The 19,349-nt window shown below is 41.1% G+C and overlaps 1 long non-coding RNA gene and 1 pseudogene across 7 annotated transcripts in view; one reads left to right on the forward strand and one right to left on the reverse strand.

Moving 5' to 3' along the window:
- Nucleotides 11,544–13,658, reverse strand: NPAP1L (nuclear pore associated protein 1 like (pseudogene); annotated as a pseudogene).
- The window catches only part of LOC101927605 (uncharacterized), a 187,474-nt gene continuing 181,771 nt past the window's right edge, over nucleotides 13,647–19,349 (forward strand). For 3 of the 7 annotated variants that reach the window (XR_001752229.1, XR_002957906.2, XR_007065085.1), the window contains exons 1-4: nucleotides 13,647–13,768; nucleotides 14,345–14,570; nucleotides 18,682–18,797; nucleotides 18,887–18,960. This is a non-coding gene — a long non-coding RNA (uncharacterized LOC101927605). Of the gene's footprint in view, nucleotides 13,832–13,957; nucleotides 14,571–18,681; nucleotides 18,798–18,886; nucleotides 18,961–19,349 lie in introns of those variants that run through there. The other 4 variants (XR_001752231.1, XR_007065084.1, XR_001752230.1 and 1 more) reach the window with 3 other exon arrangements.

Here is a 19,349-nt window from a genome sequence, read left to right on the forward strand (position 1 = left end):
ATAGTTCAGGATTTATGAATGTTTAAGCAAAGTACAGAAAAGATGCCGTTCAACCTTTAAATAATTCTATTTATTTATGCACTAACACAAGTAAGACATAATTATTTAGAAAGGGAAGAAAGTGACACATTAACTGCTACTACTACGAACTCTTCAAAGTGTATGCTGGAACTTAATGAATAGAAGTCTACTTTGAGTCACTCTAATTCTACAGACAATTCCTGTGTATGTTCAGAATAGAGTCAGTAAAGGTCAAAAGCATCACATGTGATCCAGGACCTCACCACAAGGTCCTCTGGCATGTGGAGAATTATAATGAGACCATGAATTCTTTCTTTATTTAGCAGGTCCCTTTTAGTGGAAAGAAAGCCTCAGTTGAAAAGGAAGAAGCCAATGTAAAAATGTGAAATCAAAGCTCTTCTGATATGGTTGAAAACAAGTAACACACTATAAAAAGCTGCAAGCTTGAGTTATACACATGTGACCTTGGAAATACCATTGGCTCATCTACTATTCATGGTAAGTACATACCATAATATGCCTTTGACTTCAAGAAGCTTACATTCTACTGAGGAGGACAATAATGGTTACAAGCAATTCCCATAATAAAAGAAGCTTCAATGGTAGAAGAAATTGTAATAAGGAGAAATATCTTTGGGAGACAAAGAACCAAAACTTGCCTTTGTGGATTTCAGACATTACAGCTGAGGCCTGAAGAATCAGGGAAAGATTTTTAGGTGGCAAGGAACTTGACAGAGCAAACAGCCATTTACCATTTCCTCACATGCTTCCTGAGACTGTATCAGCAGGAAGAATGACAGGTGGAAACAGGGTATGGGTATTTGTGTGTGAGTTGGGAGAGGAGACAGCATTGGGGGTAAATTACCATGAAAGGAGATTAACCTGGATAGGTAGGAGGAAGATAGCACAAATATAGTTTCTTGGAAATTCAACTGGACTTTCAACTGGAAATTCAATTGGCATGAAAATACATCTCTTTTCTCTTTTAATGGCCAGGATAAACTCGAAAGGTAAAAGAAGTGTCTGGAAGATTGTTAGACATCTATTAATGTTGGTAAACAGGAGCCCTATTAATACTAAAATGTAGAGTAGTGCATGTGTGTATATGTCTGTGTGTACCATGTGTAAACAGAGGTTTGCAAAATTCCTGTAAGTATGAAAGATGGAAAGGAATACCCTTACTTCTAGCTTTTCTACATAAAGTTAAGGATGGACAACCAAAAAGTATTCTAGAAGGATTTTTCATCTCTAAGGGTTAGTTGGAAAACATTATTTATTTTATTAACCGAACATTTTTAACTTTGTTTAGAGCTTCAAATGCCAGGCATTTTTGATAAATGTCTTATATTAAAGATTCTCTTTGATTCTGTATACTTCCAGATCAATGTGGTCTCATGGCAACCCCATTAAGGAGTTAATTATTGTCCCAAGGTTACAAATGAGGAATTGTGTGTACATGTAGTTTGCTGGTTAGAGAATTGGACAGGATTTACAATACCGAGTAGCAGAAACTGTGACACATGTGATTGTAGTAACAGCCTTCTAAAACCTAGATCTAATTCTACTGTCACATGCTTTACAAGGCAGGGTGAGAAGGAAGAACGGAGAAGATGGCAATTACCTCTTTGCTTTACTTTTAATCCATCCTCATTAGAGGACTGTTAATGATTCACATATTCTTGTTTAATACTATATAGTAACTTTGACATATATCTATTAAAATTGTATTCTTCTAGTGAATGCTGCATCTATCTGGAAAACAAAACACAATAAAATAAAACACACACAGAAAAATAAGGTCATAAGCCAATTTAAATGGCAAATATAGAAGAACACACAGGAAGAGGACAGACAGATGGGAGAGAGGTGTCGTGTTAATTCGTTCTCAAACTGCTATAAAGAACTACCTAAGACTACAAAGAAAAGAGGTTTAATTGACTCACAGTTCTGCAGGCTGCACAGTAAGCATGGATGGGGATAATTCAGGAAACTTACAATTGTGGCAGAAGGTGAAGGGGAAGCAAGCACATCTTTACCATGCCGGAACGGGAGAGGAGAGAGAGAGAGAGAGAGAGAGAGAGAGAGAGAGGAGAGAGAGGTACCAAACACATTTAAATGAACAGATCTTGTGAGAACTCACTCACTATCACAAGAACAGCAAGGGGGAACCCACCCCCATGATCCAATCACCTCCCACCAGATGCCTCCTCCAACATTGGAAATTACAATTCAACATGAGATTCGGTTGGGGACACAGAGCCAAACCATATCAGGTATTTTATAGTTTCTCAAGACTTGTGTTTGTCTTTTGATTTAGGGGAAAAAGTAATCCATAGAGGGAGAGGCAAAGACAAGGGATTTGGGGGCATATCTTGCTTTCCATGAAGTTATTAGTATCTTCATTGAACTTGCAAGACATATCAAGCTGCTTCCACAATTCTGCAATACATTTACAATGTATTAAGAAAATGAAAAAATGCTTCTATATTCAGCGATGTTAATATGATGCATGCTTTACACGGACTGGGGCATTCAGACAGGACCTGGCACATAGTCAGTGTTCAGGAAACGATTAAATGTTTAACTAAAGTGACTTAATTATCAGAAAGGAAAGCATAATAGCTTTTTTTGGTATAGGCAATGATTTTATAATTGCTTTTTTTTTTCTTTTTGTATTTCTCTCTTTTGCTAGAAGCATCTCATCTAGCTTTTCTCCTTTAATTTCAAGCAATTCTGTTCAATTCCAAAAGCATGTGACAGAAGAGATATGAGTATGTGCATGTATATATGTGTCTAGGTGTCTGTATGCATGAGTTTGTGTCTATATATATGTGTATCTGTGAGCATATGTTCTTGTTTGTGTATAAATTTATGTATATGAGCTGTGTGTATACATGGCTATGTAACTGTGTGCAATTGGATCAGTATGTGTGTTTGTTTCTATATATAGATTTGTGTGTTTGCCAGTCTGCATGTGTTTAAATCAGTGTGGGTGCATGTGTACATGTTTATATGTGTGTGTCTCTAGTCTATGTGTATATGTGCCTCTGTAGATATCTGTGTGTCTCCTTGTTCACATATGCCTTTATGTATCTGTACCTGTAAGTATGAATTTATGTGTATATTTGGATGACTGTGTGTAGGTAACTATGTGATTGTGTGTCTTTACACATGCACCATTAGACATATTTCCTACATTTTAAGTAAGTGAAAGTGTTGTTTGCAGAAAAAATAAGCTATTTAGAACCTAATGTTCTGGAAATATTCATATTAAAATACATCTGCTTTTATCATATTCTATATTGTCTACATTTAGCCACAGGTGTTAACAAAATGATAAGCACCTGGAAAGTAGACAATCTAAAAATTGTAATGGTATTCATATTAATCTTAGCTTTCTCCATGAATCAAAGTATAAACAATGAGGAAAAATCAGTCTAAGATTTTCATAGCCGGTGTAAACAGGACTTATTTCTCATAGAAATATGCTGACACTAGGCACATTCTGAAAGCTTATAGTGTGATGAATCCACTTTCTTAATATTAATTTACTCTTATAGTTTGTTTAATATAATATTGATTAAATTAGTATTTGGATTAATGATCTTTTAAATGCAAAGGAACTAAAACAGTATTCTCTTAATACAGAATGATAACTGAAAGACTAAAATGTTTGGAAATCAGTTTTTAAAGTATTTTATTCTATTGTTCTATTTCATATATCATTACATATCAAAGTATATATTATACTAATTTATACTATATTAAAGTATAATCATAAATATGTAGAATTCAGGTGTTACCCACCTACATATTGTACACACACACACACACACACACACAAACACACAGATGTATATATAACATAAATCAAATATATGTAAATGATCTCAAAAAAAGCATTTATTGAATATTTGATAAATGCCAGATATTATGCTAGGTACAGAAAAGCAAGTTAAAAAAGCATGTACTCCAATTTTCAGGGACTCAGTTTTAATTAGGTACAGAGCTTGCTACTTGGTTTGTAGGTCCTGGTGAAAAAATATAATCTTTTGTTTGAAAAGCCAGAAAAAAATGCCATTAAAAATGCACACAAAGATGTTTCCTTTCTTTTTAATCATCTCTTCCTCTCCAGTTGTCTTATAATTTATTTATTTAATTATTTTATTTTTTCATTGAGATGGAGTGCCACTCTGTCTCCCAGGTTGGACTGCAGCGGCGTGATCTCTGCTCACTGCAGCCTCTGCCACCTAGGTTCAAGTGACCCTCATGCCTCACCTTCCCAAGTAACTGGGACTACAGGAATGTGCCACCATGCCCAGCTATATATATATGTTTTTTGTATTTTTAGTAGAGACGGGGTTTCACCATGTTGGCCAGGCTGGTCTCGAACTCCTGACCTCAGGTGATGCGCCCACCTTGGCCTCCCAAAGTGCTGGGATTACAGGCGTGAGCCACCACCTCGTCATTTTTAAAAATTTAATTTGCAGGCAAATTTCATTCTAAGCAAGTGATTAGCATTAATTTTCCCATTGGTTATACTGTGCAATGATAGTTTTAAATGTAAACATCAGAGCATTTTAGCCCTTAATCAGAATCACTGAAATTGCATGCTTGTATCACAGTTTATCCTTGGAGGGTGCCTTGAGGGTTCCTTGAGTTGGTCTGAAGAGATAAACACAAGCCAGATTCAGAGAAGGTTAGAAGGAGATCTTCACCCTAGACAGGAGTCTGCAGAAGGAATGCTCTAGAGCAAGGTTATACTCATGGGGCAAGAGCAGACTGTCACAGGTACCCTGGGATTGCCCTTCCTGCCAACTCCTAGACCTGCTCAGTGTCCCAGCCAGATGTGGGGTCTTGAACATTGAGCTAGATATTTCCATTTTTCATGAGTCTGCCACTCCAACCCATGGCAGATAGCCAACTCCACAAAGATATTTAAACCTATGTGCCAGGTTACACGAACAGAGGTTGGAAAAGCTCACTCTCACCAAGAGACACTCCAACCCATGGCAGATAGCCAACTTCACAAAGATCTTTAAACCTGTGTGCCAGGTTACACAGACAGAGGTTGGAAAAGCTCACTCTCACAAAGAGACAGGTGCTCTGGGGTGCTGTCAGCCCAGTGTAGGGTGGCTGCCACAGTGCCCCATCCCAAGAGGCCATGGAGCAGTGTACCCAACTCTCCAGACACTCATAGGGTGAAAGATGGCAGCAGTGGCAGGGTGAGGATGGGGAGGGGAGGATGGGGGGCTTGGGGTAGAGGGAGTGGGAGAGTGAACTGCTGAGAATCTGCTCTTGGGAGGCTGTGGGAAGTTGTACTACTGATAAACCAAGGCTCCAAACCCCAGGGACATGCTCCATTGACACATCATTCAAAACATAAATTTCAAGATAAAATTATTAAATATTTAAAAATGACTATTGCAGTGCATTATTCTCTAAGCAGAAACCCTTCTGGAGAGGGTAAGGCATAACTGGTCACACACTCTGAAGCCAGCCCTGGATAGGAGAGAAAGATGCATAGTTTATCTAAACAATTGAAATAGGTACAGATGTAGCTTGTTTTATGGAACTTTGCTTTATTGCACTTCACAGGAATTGTATTTTTAACAAATTGGAGATTTGGTGTTAACGGTATCAAATCTCCAATTTTTTAAAAATGCAATTTTTAATTTTTATTAATGGTTATTAATGGTAGTGATTATCTGAAGTAGGTTTAGAGATGAATATGAATTTTCTGAGATAAAAAATCATTGGAAATGGAACAAGAAATCTCATGTCCAAAGTCTCAGAAATGTGGAAGATCATGGCATATTTGCAAAGCTGCAAATAATGACATACCAGTAATGTGTCCCTGCATGCGTGTTTACATATGCATTGGGGGTGAAAAAAAGATGCAGGAGAAGGTAGTAGGGAGTTGCAGTTGGTTGCATTGTGATAAAACTTCTGTTCCTCCATAAAAGGCTTGTGTTCTTTAGGGACATGAAATGAATTAAGACATATATCTCAAACTCAAAAATGAGACCTCCAATGCCAAACAGTAAAAGATAACAGGATAAATTATATCAATGCTTTACAGTCTCAAGGTGTCAGAAATTCTTCATTGATACTGCAGCAACATCAAACATTCAAAGGTCTTAAGTTAGATTAGAAATTGGAAGAACAGAGCATGCTTGATATTAGACTCTTAAGATTTCTCTGATTTCCTTCCATTAGGATATGTCATTTACGTTATTAGAGAACTACAGTTAAATTCAACTTAGTGATGGGTGTTTAGGCCACTATGACTATAAGTATATGCCTGGATAGCACCTCAGACAAAAATTTGCCTGTTAACTGTGGAAATTTTATTTATTTATTTATTTATTTTTGAGATGGAGTCTCACTGTGTCGCTCAGGCTGGAGTGCAGTGGCATGATCTCAGCTCACTGCAACCTCTGCCTCCCAGATTCAAGCAATTCTCCTTCCTCAGCCTCCCGAGTAGGTACGATTACAGGCACGCGCCACCACGCCCAGCTAATTTTGTATTTTTAGCAGAGACAGAGTTTCACTGTGTTGACCAGGCTGGTCTCGAACTCCTGACCTCAAGTGATCCACCAGCCTTGGCCTCCCAAAGTGCTGGGATTATAGGCATGAGCCACCGCACCTGGCCTGGAAATTATTTTTGAAAAATTCCCATTTGATTTGTGTTTTATTTTTCAGGAAGAGAATGTATAGATGTTCAATGTCTAAGCAAGAGAAACAAACATTCTTTTCCCTCTCTCCTCTATCTTGTTCATAAAGCAAGAATTATAAGCCTGCAGTGCGGCTTACAGGTAAAACCAGAAATATTTACATTACATACTCTTTGGCTTATGACCAAAGAAGAGACTTTTAGTGGTTACTAAGAAATCTGCCCTCTAAACAATAGAACTATTAGAGAATCCCTAACCTTTCTTCATCTCCATAGAGGAGTGTTCATTTCTGATTTCCTCAAAGTGTATGTGTTATTCCTGTTTCATGTAGCCCAGAAATCCTGCACTAACTTATCACAATGATTGTGAATATATTTATTTATGTCTATATGCCAAAATGTGCTCAATTACAATATTCCCTTCTAGCCTGATCTTTGGCTATTTTTTTCTAACCAAAATCCCTTTGGGTAGGATCCACTGGGCAGGATCCATCCATTGGATCCTGCTCAATGGATCCCTGCCCAAAGGACCAATGAGAAAAACATGCTTCCTACCCAGTGAGAGCAGGGCCATCTTTTTCTCATTTCCTCTGGTATATACAGGCTATCAGTATTGATTTTGGCTTACAGATAGCACTGAATATTTTTTGTATTAATTTGAAGTCAATTAAGTTAATTAGTCATAGTAATTAACTATGGCTTTAAAATCATAAAGCAGAGAATCAATTGTTAATTTAATTTTTCAAAACCATGCTTAAAACTTTTTTCTTAATGTATAGCTTAGGTTACAGAGTCACTACCTCTGAGTTACAGACCCCTTTACCCGGGATTAAAAGGGTGGGAGTAGATCATGTAGAGGTGGGTGTAGAATTATACTAGGGATTCATTAACCCATAAGCATATTCACACTCCTCAATACTCAAGTGCATACTAAAGCTTAAGTAATATTATGTAAATGTCCATGGACTTCGGACTTGTTAAAAAGATCTCCTCATTTCCAAAAGAGTGAGGAATCTACGGCCTATTAGAAACCAAAAGAGTTTATCAACGTGTTAATGTATGTGTCTGTGAGTGTCTGGGATGAATGGGGGTAGTCAGTTCTACCCCCATTCATCCCAGTGAGTGTCTGTGAGTGTCTGGGATGAATGGGGGTAGTCAGTAGTAGTTTCGCACGGTGAAAGTACTACCTTTTGTCCTGGTTAAAAGGGTGTGTTACTGCACCACAGAATTTGGCCATTTTTGCCATCATCCTCATTTTCATCCTCGCTCGTTAAAAATGGAATAACATTTTTAATAAATGATACTTTATTGAGTCTTTGCAACATGTAAACACAGCCCAAGGTAATAAACAGCCATTACTTTCCATTCTCAAAACAGTTCTTCCAGGTAAACATTCTTATCCCTATTTTATAAATGAGAAAACTGAAGCGTCCAGGGACTCAGAGACTTTGTCTCAAAGTCCTGGAGTTCTTGATTGGGTGGAGCCCAGGATTCAAACCCAAGTCACTGTGACTGCAGAGCCATTTTTCTTTTCTTCATAATATGTTTCTCAAAGTGCAGTTCATGGGCCACCTGTGGGTGTAGATTCTTGGATAGAAATGCATTTCACATGTTTAGGGAGTACAATTCATGGGGCATTCCTTCCTGTGTCCCATCTCTAGAACTATAATCTCTGAAGGTGGGATGAAAGAATCTGCATTTGAACAGGTAGCATTTGAGAACCACTACCATGGACTATACTGTTATGGAAGAAAAAATGTACTTTGTGAAACTCTAAATTTCCATTTAAAATCAAAATTGGGAGAGGTAAGAAATGGCAAAACAGGACATGATACTTGCTAAAGCAAGAAGGTCCCTCCTTGCATCTGTTTTTAAAACCTCTCAGGTCCATATTGCTGAGTCTTCACTGGCCATAAACACTTCCAGGAACTTCAGGCTGATTGAATTGGGCACCAGATTTTATCATTGGGCAGCATTTGCTGTGGCTATGACTTGGGCATTGGAGTTGCTGCTTGTATAATAACTTGAGTGTGTGTGACATCAAAAGTCTATTTTCAGCATTTGCATATTGCATATTTAAACATATTGGGATTTTCTTAGTCTTTGTTTATAGTTTAATCTTTATATTCTAAGAAAATGTCATTTTTAGCTCCAGTCCAAATACTGTATAATCACAGCACTCTGATGTAAACTGCAGAGCTGAACTTGAGAAAACTTAATACATTCCACTTCGTAATGTAATAACCAAGTTGAAATCCAACTGCACTAGGAAATGACCAAGAATGTAAGGGCAGTTTAAAGCCTAATGATCATATTTGCTGCTGCTGATGGTGATGATGATGCCCATTGCCTAAAATGACTGTAGCCAAGGAAAGAAAAGCAATTGATTCTGAGCTCGTAAAAAAAATTTTTTTTTAAAGAAAATTGTTTCATTCAGGAAATGTTCTTGTGCTTTCCCAAAATGCCAAAAATAAATAAATAAATAATTTTCGATAGCTTTTCTTCTATCCTCCTTGGCCCAAATCCCAAATCAGGAAAGATGAAGCTTCTAGCTCCCCATTTGTGTCATACTGACTCTGGATACTCAATACGTATTTCTTGTTTTCCACTTGTTTTGTCCATCAGCTTGCTGCAGGAGGCAGCTTAAGCTTAGAGGTTAAGAACACGTGTACTGTGAATAGACTGTTACGAATCAGGACTCTGTCTCTTTATAATTGTGTAAAGAAACTTGACCTTGTCACTCTTTGGACTATTATTCCATCCCCTAAAAACAGAGATGATAAGAGTGCCTATCTCCTAGGGATTGTTTTGAATATTAAGCAAGATCATATATGCAAAACAGTGAGCCAAGAGGCTGCCCCACATTACATTCTCTGAAATGGTAGTTATTATTAATAAACCACTGTACATTTTAGAACAAAGGACTGGTAAAGCCATTTCTAAGGATGATTAATTTAGAGTTCTAGACTGGAGGGAGTTGGCCAACAGGCTAAGGGATGAGACAGGAGGTGTTGACGATTCTACAGCTTAACATGCAGAGTTTGTGCCAGAGTGGTGACGATGTAGGTTCTTAAAAAGAAGGAAAAGAGACCTTACATCGATTAATTGATTTTTAGGAGCAAGCACTGTGCTCTGTGCTCACATTTATTAATTCACGTATCCAGGTTTGAAACTTAGAATTAACCACAAAGCAACAGTAAGAAAAGATGGAATAAAGCACTTTACTTTATAGGCTGTCATGGATTACACAGGTAGTAGAAATAGAAGGCCTGGAGTCCCTTCATTTACTGGCTACATTTACTGGCCCTAAAAACCTCAGCAGATCATTTTACCTTTATGGGCATCCACTTTTGCATCTGTAAAATGTGGGTAATACTGCTTTGGAGACAATGAGCAGGACATTTGCACACATTAGAATTTATAAAGTAATTTTTCAGGAATTATAACATTATAATTTATCCTGAATGTCTTCTGTTTCATCTTTCCCGATTTCCCTCCTAATGGAACTGATAGTCCTATCTGCTCACTAATCTGTAGAATTGCTATAACTTATACATACCAATACCTACACTTGTTTTCTGTGTCTTTTTTTTTTTAAATACTCATTTTACTTGGCCATTGAGTTCCAAGTTAGATGAGCTTTCATTGTTCTTTGAGATACATCAAAATGTTCTCTGTGAGGCCTTCCTTACTCCTGCCACCTAATTTCCTGCGTTTGACCATTCATTTTCCTGTGGTCACATAGCAATTTCCATGTACCTCTTAGTACTCGTATCACATTATTTTATAATTGTCTACAAGCTCCTAGAAAAAAAGGCTTATTCATTTTTGTATCCATAGCACCTGGCATGGCTTCTGGCAGGGAAGTGGCATGCAATAAATTTTTTTAAATGTAATAATTTTAGCTCATTGTTATTAGTACTATGTGTATTAGTGGGGCATTCCCATTTCAGTTTTGGACACATTACCATGAGGGAGAAAATCAGAAATCAAAGAAGAAATTTCTACTAAGCTTCATATAATACATGAAAATAATCCTAGCATATCTAATATATGTAAGAAATAATGGTGCAGTTACTAATATAATACATTATACAATGTTTCATAGCATATATACTATGTGAGACGTGTCACTTTTTCAAAATGAATGCTAGATCTTTCTGGCTCTAACCTGTTAAAAGGGTCCTGCGGTTTCTTTCTGCATTCAGTCCTTTGCCCCCTCACTTCATCCACACTTCTGACATCAGTATATACACAGTCACATCATAAATTCAAATACTTTCTGATCTAGTAGCTCCCTTTTTTTCTCATCAGCTATTCATTTTATCATTAGCTACAAAGTTTAATTAGAACTTTGACCTCGGGAAGGAAGCGGCTAACTATGGCGACCGCCACGCAGCAGTGGGTTCTGGTGGAGATGGTACAGGCGCTTTACAAGGCTCCTGCTTACCATCTTATTTTGGAAGGGATTCTCATACTCTGGATAATCAGACTTCTTTTCTCTAAGACTTACAAATTACAAGAACGATCTGATCTTACAGTCGAGGAAAAAGAAGAACTGATTGAAGAGTGGTAACCAGAACCTCTTGTTCCTCCTGTCCCAAAAGACCATCCTGCTCTCAATTACAACATCGTTTCAGGACGGAGTCTTGCTCTGTCACCAGGCTGGAGTGCAGTGGTGCGATCTCGGCTCACTGCAACCTCCACCTCCCGGGTTAAAGCCATTCTCCTGCCTCAGCCTCCCGAGTAGCTGGGACTACAGGCACAAGCCACCATGCCCACCTAATTTTTGTATTTTTAGTAGAGATGGAGTTTCACCATGTTGGCCAGAATGATCTCGATCTCCTTTTTTTTAATTAAAAAGTAAACTTTAATGTCGAAAATGCAAACTTGGGGAGGGCAGAAAGATCACACACAAGGCTGTCACTTCACACGTGGAAGGTTGCACAGCGGCTGGGCAGAGACGCTCCTCACTTCCCAGATGGTGAGGGGGCCGGGCAGAGGCGCTCCTCACTTCCCAGACGGTGCAGGGGCTGGGCAGAGGCACTCCTCCCTTACAAAGGGTGAGGGGGCTGGGCAGAGGTGCTCCTCACTTTCCAGACAGGGCGGTGGCTGGGCAGAAGCGCTCCTCACTTCCCAGATGGGACGGTGGCCGGGCAGAGGCGCTTCTCATTTCCCAGACGGTGAGGAGGCCGGGCAGAGGCACGCCTCACTTCGCAGACGGGATGGCGGCGAGGCAGAGGCGCTCCTTACTTCCCAGACAGGGCAGCTGGGCAGAGGCGCTCCTGACTTCCCATACCGTGAGGCGGCCGGGCAGAGGTGCTCGTCACTTCCCAGATGGGGTGGAGGCCGGGCAGAGGCGGTGCTCCTTCTCAATTCCCAGATGGTGGGCAGCTGGGTAGAGGCACTCCTCACTTCCCAGACAGGGCAGTGGCCAGGCAGAAGCACTCCTCACTTCCCAGAGTGTAAGGGGGCCGGGCAGAGGCACTCCTTGCTTCGCAGACAGGACGGCAGCCAGGCAGAGGCGCTCCTCACTTCCCAGATGGTGCAGGCAGAGATGCTCCTCAGGTCTCAATCTCTTGACCTCCTGATCCGCCCGCCTGGGCCTCCCAAAGTGCTGGATTACAGGCGTGGGCCACCACGCCTGCCCTGCCGTCTCTCCTTTCTCCTCCTAAGCAGCTCTCTTAGTCTCCTGAATTTTGATGTTCTACTTAGCACCCTCATGTTCTTATGCATGTTGCCCTGCTGGAGGCGTCCTTCTCTTTGGGAAGCCTGACCCACCAACAGTGCCTCAGGAGATAGACATGGAAGCTTAGCCGGTGGGGGCCCCTCGTCTCTATCCCACCTCAGTTGCAGGGGAGGGGTCAGTTGCAGCTGCAGCAGTGGCCCCGACAGTTTTCTTTTGCGGGAACTGTGGCCGGCAGCTCTGGGTGGAGAAGACCTACTTGATCCAAGAGCTGCAGGATCCTTGGGCTGCATGTCCTCCCCCACCATCAGCAAGCCTGGAGAGCTGGGCAGGTGGTCTTTACCCAGCACCTTCAAGGCCCCCTTCTCTGGCCACAGGGAGCAGCCCGGAACTGGGGCAGGGAGCACTGTTGGAAGTGGGTCAGGCTTCCCAAAGGGAAGGATGCCTCCAGCAGGGCTGTGTGAACTGGCGACTCCATGGCCCTTGGAGTAGAAACTCACTGCATGCACCTGGGCCTTGTCAGTCTGGTTGTTTTCTGTCAAGCTCTTGAGGTGGACATTTCCCTCCAAGGTCCTGGGATTGTACCAGGAGGAAGTGAGGTTTCCCTGAGTCTCCAGGGGCCTAGAGGTGGAGGCCGCTTCCCCATTGCTACAGGGGCCCCTTTTATTGTCCTCCTGCCCCTGGGTCTCTACCTGGTCTTTCACCTCCGTTGCTTCTTTGGGCTCTTCTGCCCTCATCTCCGTCTTCGGGAGCCTGGCTGGGATCACCTGCTCATCAAATGAAGGAAGTTGAAGGTTAAACTTGCCTCTGAGACGAGGGATCCTCAGGGGCCTGAGGTGTCCAAACATCGTGGAGTTGCGAGCAGACAGCGCAGGTTTCTTCCTCGAGGGGGGGCTCCAGACCACAGGAGGCAGGACCCTCTGTGGGGTGCCCGTGTTCTGAGGGCTAAGACACAGCCTCATAGGGGCACCATCCCACCTGTCTGGAAAAGAAGGCCCAAGATGTCGCTGACGGTTGAAGAGTGGGAAATGGCCCCAGATTCCCCGGGCAGGCACAGGTGCAGGAGCCGCGGGGTGAGCCCGGCCAGCTGGGAAGGCCTCACGGACAAGACGAGCAGGTGGCCGATGGCATGGCCAGGACCTGCGGCGGAACCAGGAACAAAATACGCTTAGTGAGTTGCCCATTTTGAGCGAGTTGTGCACAGACGAAAGTAAGGGTGAGAAGCGGAGAGGATACTCCTAAGTCACCCACTTCTCTGTGGCCGGGTGCACACTGGGCATCTGGGAGTTTATGACATCACAATGGGGCTGGTGACAGAGCTAGGGTGTGGAGGAGTGCTTAGGAGCCCAGCGAGGGTGCCTACAAGAGGAGTCAAAGGGCAAAGGGTGAGACCCTTCCACCGGTTCCCCTGGACTCTAGCCTCAGGGACGTCCTGCTCCTGGGGGCAGGTGTGTGGCCCTGGATGGGCCCCCTGTGGGGCTGTTGGGGGTGCGGGGCTGATCTGCCAGAGCGCTTCCGCCTGGCGCCTGGCCCAGGTGCTGGCTGGCACCCAGTGGCCCTGTCTTGGCCGGCCCTGTACCCCGGGTTGCAGGGCCAGAACCTGGAAGCAGAGCGCAGGACCAGCCAGATCCCGCCAGGCTCTCCAGTGCCTCTGTGCTGCCTGGAGCCAGGCCTGCCTTCTCCATGGCTGCCGTGGCCTCAAGGGCCACCAGCCTCGCTCCACAGGTTTCCAAGAGAGGATGCAGTGCCCTGACCTGACTGGATGCACCTCTTACCACATGCCTCCCTGGCAGGCAGGGTCTCCACTTTTTACAAGTTTGCCTGAGACCATTCCTCAGGTCATTCAGGTGATCATGGCCCAGCCAGGCTTTGAACCTGGGCTGTGCGATTCCACAGCTGGCACTCTGGCCTGTGTGCCTCATGATCATGGATACAGCATCTATTCTTATTTTTTCCTCTAGTCCTGGGGTACTTAGCACCGTGGCATATCTGTAATAAGCACATGCACACCTCGAAGGAGGTCTTCACTTCAACATACAAGTTGACCATGGCATGCTCTGGGCTCCAGTCCTCTACAAAGATGTAGGGCAGGAACTACCAGTTGTCAGCACAGCACCATCCCACATTGCTCTTCTAATGGAGACTTTCACCCCAGATGTTCTTTCTCGTCTGATGGGAAGGATCCAAGTATGTAAAGATTATGTTCTAGATCAGCTTTGGTCTGTCCTAAAAGAAATTTGCCAGTGGATTATTCCATATGGATAAAAGTCAGTTTCTCTGGTCTTCCTGGAATGTGTCTAGAAAGCAAATACATTATTTACAATTCATAGTAGATCAATGTATTGGATTAAAATATGACAAACATAATTTGGTCATTGTGAGCATGCCAGCTCAGTCAACTATTCACCATACATGATGCCCTAAATATAACTCTAGGTTTTCTTATGCCCAAGAGAGGGACATACTCTTGGGTGTCTGGACTAGGGAAACATGCATGAAAAACCATTTGGCCACTCTACATCTTGTTACTGGAGAATTGAAACCATCTATATTCAAAGATATTATTAAAAGGCAAGAAGTTAAAAAAAAAAAGAACATTGATCTCATGATTCTTTCATTATATCCATTTTACATTATCCTGCCTTATACCCACAATTGAAGAGTTGCCACTTTATACCTAGGATAGAGGAGTTGCCACATCATGAGCATGCTGGCACCAAGTGGAGGCACATCCAGGTTTTTCAGCATTCTCCTGGTAAGGTTGATTAGCTCTCGGAAGCTGAGCATATGTTTAAAATCCTTAACCAACATCACTTAGATTTCCTTATAGTTGCATCTCAGTCTATAGCTAAATGGACATGAAATCAATATGCACTCATGGAAAGCTAGCCCCCGTGAGATACATTCTAAATAATGCAGCATATCGTAACAATTGGATGGTACATAATTCCCTCCATCTAAAACAAAATTGATTTTTGTCCTCTATTATCCCAGTACTGCAAAGGGATCTATTTTCATTTAAAGTTTCAAACTTTTCAGCCGTGCACCATAAACAAACACTAAAAGATTTCATAATATTCTCAAGATTGTCCACTCTCAGCAGCAAAGAGTGCCACTACGAATGCTGAAGGCTAAGAAGTAATAAACCATCAAAAGCTTCATTGCAAATGCTCTGAAAAATCTCTTTTCCTTCCACAGCTCAGCAGGGTGCAGCTCTGCTTACATTTTCAGGCCATGAATGAGAAAGTTGCCTTTGGCCTTATCTGACCCCTTTCTCCATGTCAGAAAGGGAGAGAACACTCACAAGATGGAATAAAAGAATTGAATGGTTTGCTTCTTGTTTCCGTCAACCCAATGTCTGCTGCCAAAAAAAAAAAAAAAAAAAAGGAAAAAAAACACACATTCGAAGCAAATGCTTCTTATTAATATGCATATGGATCTCCTGATGATCTTGATAAATTACTGTTTCAGGACATCTGGGGTGAGGCCTGAAATTCTGCATTTCTAACAAGCTTCCATGTGATGTTGATGCTGCCAGCCCAAGGACCACATTTTGAGTGGTGTGTTGGGCAGAATCCTAACAATGCCCTTCTTCCTCTAAGATTCTTATACCCTGGTTATTTAATCAAAGATCAATTTAGGTTCTGCTGGAAGGGAAGTTTGCAGTTATAATTGAAGTTCCAAATCAGTTTTAATTGACCTTAAGATGCAGAGGTTATCCAGGTGGGCCTGCTCTAATCACATGAGACCTTTAAAAAGCAGGATAGGGGAGCAGAAAGGAGGTAAAGAAATTCAAAAGATGCTAGGGGTTTGACATGCTGTTGTTGCTTTGAACATGGAGCATGCGTGTGAGAAGGAATGTGTCAGCTTCAAAGAGATGAGGGTGGCCTCCAGATGACAGCCGGCAAGGAAATGGGGTCTTGTGAGGAACTGGATCCTGCCAAAAACTTGAATGAGCTTGGAAGGGAGTTTATCCCCAGAACCTCCAGAAGAGAATGCAGCCTTGCTGATACATGGATGTCTTGAGAACAACTGAGAAACTCTAGATAGAAAAAAACAGCTCAACCATGCTGTGCCCAGACTCCTGGAGTCATTTTAAATGGCTAAGTTTGTAATAATTTGTTAGGTAGCAGCAGAAAACTAATACAAGTAGGAAGGTTGTAATTCAATAAAACTAAGTGAAATCTTGCCATTCATATTTGGGGTAAAAAACAAGTTTTGATCCTTGTTTCTTGATAACCAAACATAGAATCATTTTTAATGCAAAGAACACAGAATTTGCAATTGACAATATACATATAGTGGTCTCAACTCTTTCTCTTTTACTTCTTTGACTTTGAAGAAACCTTTAAACCTTTCTGGACTTCAGTGTCCTCAAGATTTTTTTTTAAAAAAAGATTAATATTACCTCTTTCAACTAACTGCTATAGAGAGGTTAAGAATAGCATACAAAATAAGTGAAAAAGTCTTGTAAACTATAAAATGCTAGTCATATATACAGAATCAGATATAGTGTACGTTTAAATTACGCCTCATTGAACTTTTCTCTGGTCATAAGAAAGTTCTTCAGATGTTGAAATACCATAATTTACTGTTCAAAAATCTCATCATTGCAAGTGACAGTAGATGAAAGTGAAAACAAACACTTTGAAAACCCCTTGTCGTCACCCACCCTTCTTATCAGAGGTAGTTTTTTAATAGTAGAGTCTCAGACACAAATGTATATCACGTCCTTTTTTTTTTTTTTAAGAGCTGTAAAGTAAAAGCTGTATTTTATTGGATTAATTGAAAAAACTAGTCCATCCAACTTTTTCTCTTTTGATGTCAAATGTACTCAGGTACGTTGTAAATAATTCAGGTGTTATTTGTAAACAAGATTGCTCTCAGATGAACAGGATGGAAATTACTGAGAGACAGGATATGGGTGAGTTGTGTGTTGTGAAAGAGCCATGCAGAAATGAACTCGGGGTTAACAGAAGATATATCTAATATGTAATACCTTCCTATGCACGGTGCCAAATCATTAGTTTATGGCAACCTTTCCTCTGCTTTTAGTGTGTGTTAACTTTTGCAGTGAGCAGATGCAGCCACGCACATTCTGTTCGGCAGAAGGCAGATGCCAGTCCCTGAAATGGGCGCCCAGTTCCAAGGGCAACATCTGGATCCCTGGGCTTGGCTCTGTTCCTGTCTGTGCTTGTGGCTATACAATGCCCCCTGGAGACATTTTATGATTAGTCTGCGACAGAGTTGGCATGAGTGTCTTGTCTCCCTGGCAACCATTTTCCCTTTGATTCTTATACATCTGCTCAGCAATATACTGTATTTGGGAAACTGCTCCCTACCTTATTTCCAATCACAAAGCCAATGACAGAGGACTTTTGCTGAATGGGATATCATTTTCCCCGGCGTCTGAAGCTATTGTTTTCCAGTGTGCTCATAACTGCATCAAACTGCAGAGTACATCTTCTCTGCAAGGCCACTAAGTTTAGGACAAGCATTAGATTCTAATGAATACTCAGAGGCACCTCTTGAATAAGTGAGGAGTTTTCAGAAGCTAAGTGGGAGCTAAGTGGTTAGAGCAGCCTGGCCAGCCTTGTTTCTTGGCTAAGAAGAACCTGGTTGGATGAATCTGTATTTTTCACTTAAAACAAATTATTAATACAATTTTTGATTGACAAAGCATAATTGTATATGTTTCTGGGGTATGATGTGATGTTTTGATATATGTATACAATGTAGCATGATTAAATCAAGCTAATTTACCTGTCTATCACCTTGCTTACCTATCATTTTTTAAGTTGAGACATTTAAAACTTATTCTCTTTGTTGTTTTGAGATATATAATACATTATTGTTGACTGTATTCCTCACTGTCTCTCTCTTGCTCTTTTTTATTGTCAGATCCTTACTTACGGAAGTAAGAACTCAGACTTCCCTTATCTGAAAGAGCATTAGGCTATACCTTTATTTACTCCCTCCCAGCAAAAGGCTATTGTTAACAGGTATCCCTCAGGTTGCCCTTTTGTCTGTAGAGAAACAAGTGTGAGATTGAGGCATGTGTCAACACTGAGTCAGTTATTAGCCATATCGCAGGTGAAACTGGAGAACAGATTAGAAGAAAAATGAACTCTTATCCCCAGCCCATCCTGTATGTTTCCATTAATAAGTGTTTTGAATTATGTGCAGAAAGAAAGGAGTAAAAATTTCAGAATAATATCCTGTGACCTGGAGTTTACAGAAGATAATTTTAAAAATTAACAGCTACCTGTTAGTCTAAGAGTGTATTTCCATTTTACAGATGAAAAAATTGAGGCTCAAAGAAGTCCACCAAATTGAGAGTGAAGTAGGGGAAACAGCATTTAACGCTTACATTCTAATGATTTGTGTAAGAGCAGCAGGACAAGCTATACAAAGGTAAGACAATTCATCTAACAACGAGGCCATGGAGAGAGTTGTCAAGGAAGACAGCCTTCAGTAATTACCTTACCATCACTCTTTTCTAGAAAAAGGTGGAATTATCAGGATGGAATTAAAGATGCTTCCAAACAGAGGGGATATCTCAAGCCATGACTCAGAGGTAAGAGTAAGAGACTATGATGTGCACAGGAGCTGTTTAAAAAGTTCACTCACCTCTACTCATTCATAGAGACACATTTCAAATACCACCTCCTATCAGAAGCCCCCATAAATTATCACCATAACATTCTCTCCATTCCTCCTTGAGGGAGGTAAAATGTAACAATTATCAGATAAAAAGATCTTTAGGAACCTAAAACTCAAAAGATAGTTCATTTTAGGAATGAAAATGGGTCTGCAGCCTGTGTGAACCCATAAATCATGGTATTATAGGACCAGTGCTCTTCCTGCCAACATTTTCCCTAACTGCCAGCTTGTGGGTGCCAAGCACTCTCTTGCATTATAGGATTTAACACAGGACCTGACTTAATATAGCAATGTTTTCTTATC

The sequence above is a fragment of the Homo sapiens genome, chromosome 16, assembly GCF_000001405.40.
Source record: "Homo sapiens chromosome 16, GRCh38.p14 Primary Assembly".
Classification (NCBI taxonomy): Eukaryota; Metazoa; Chordata; class Mammalia; order Primates; family Hominidae; genus Homo; species Homo sapiens.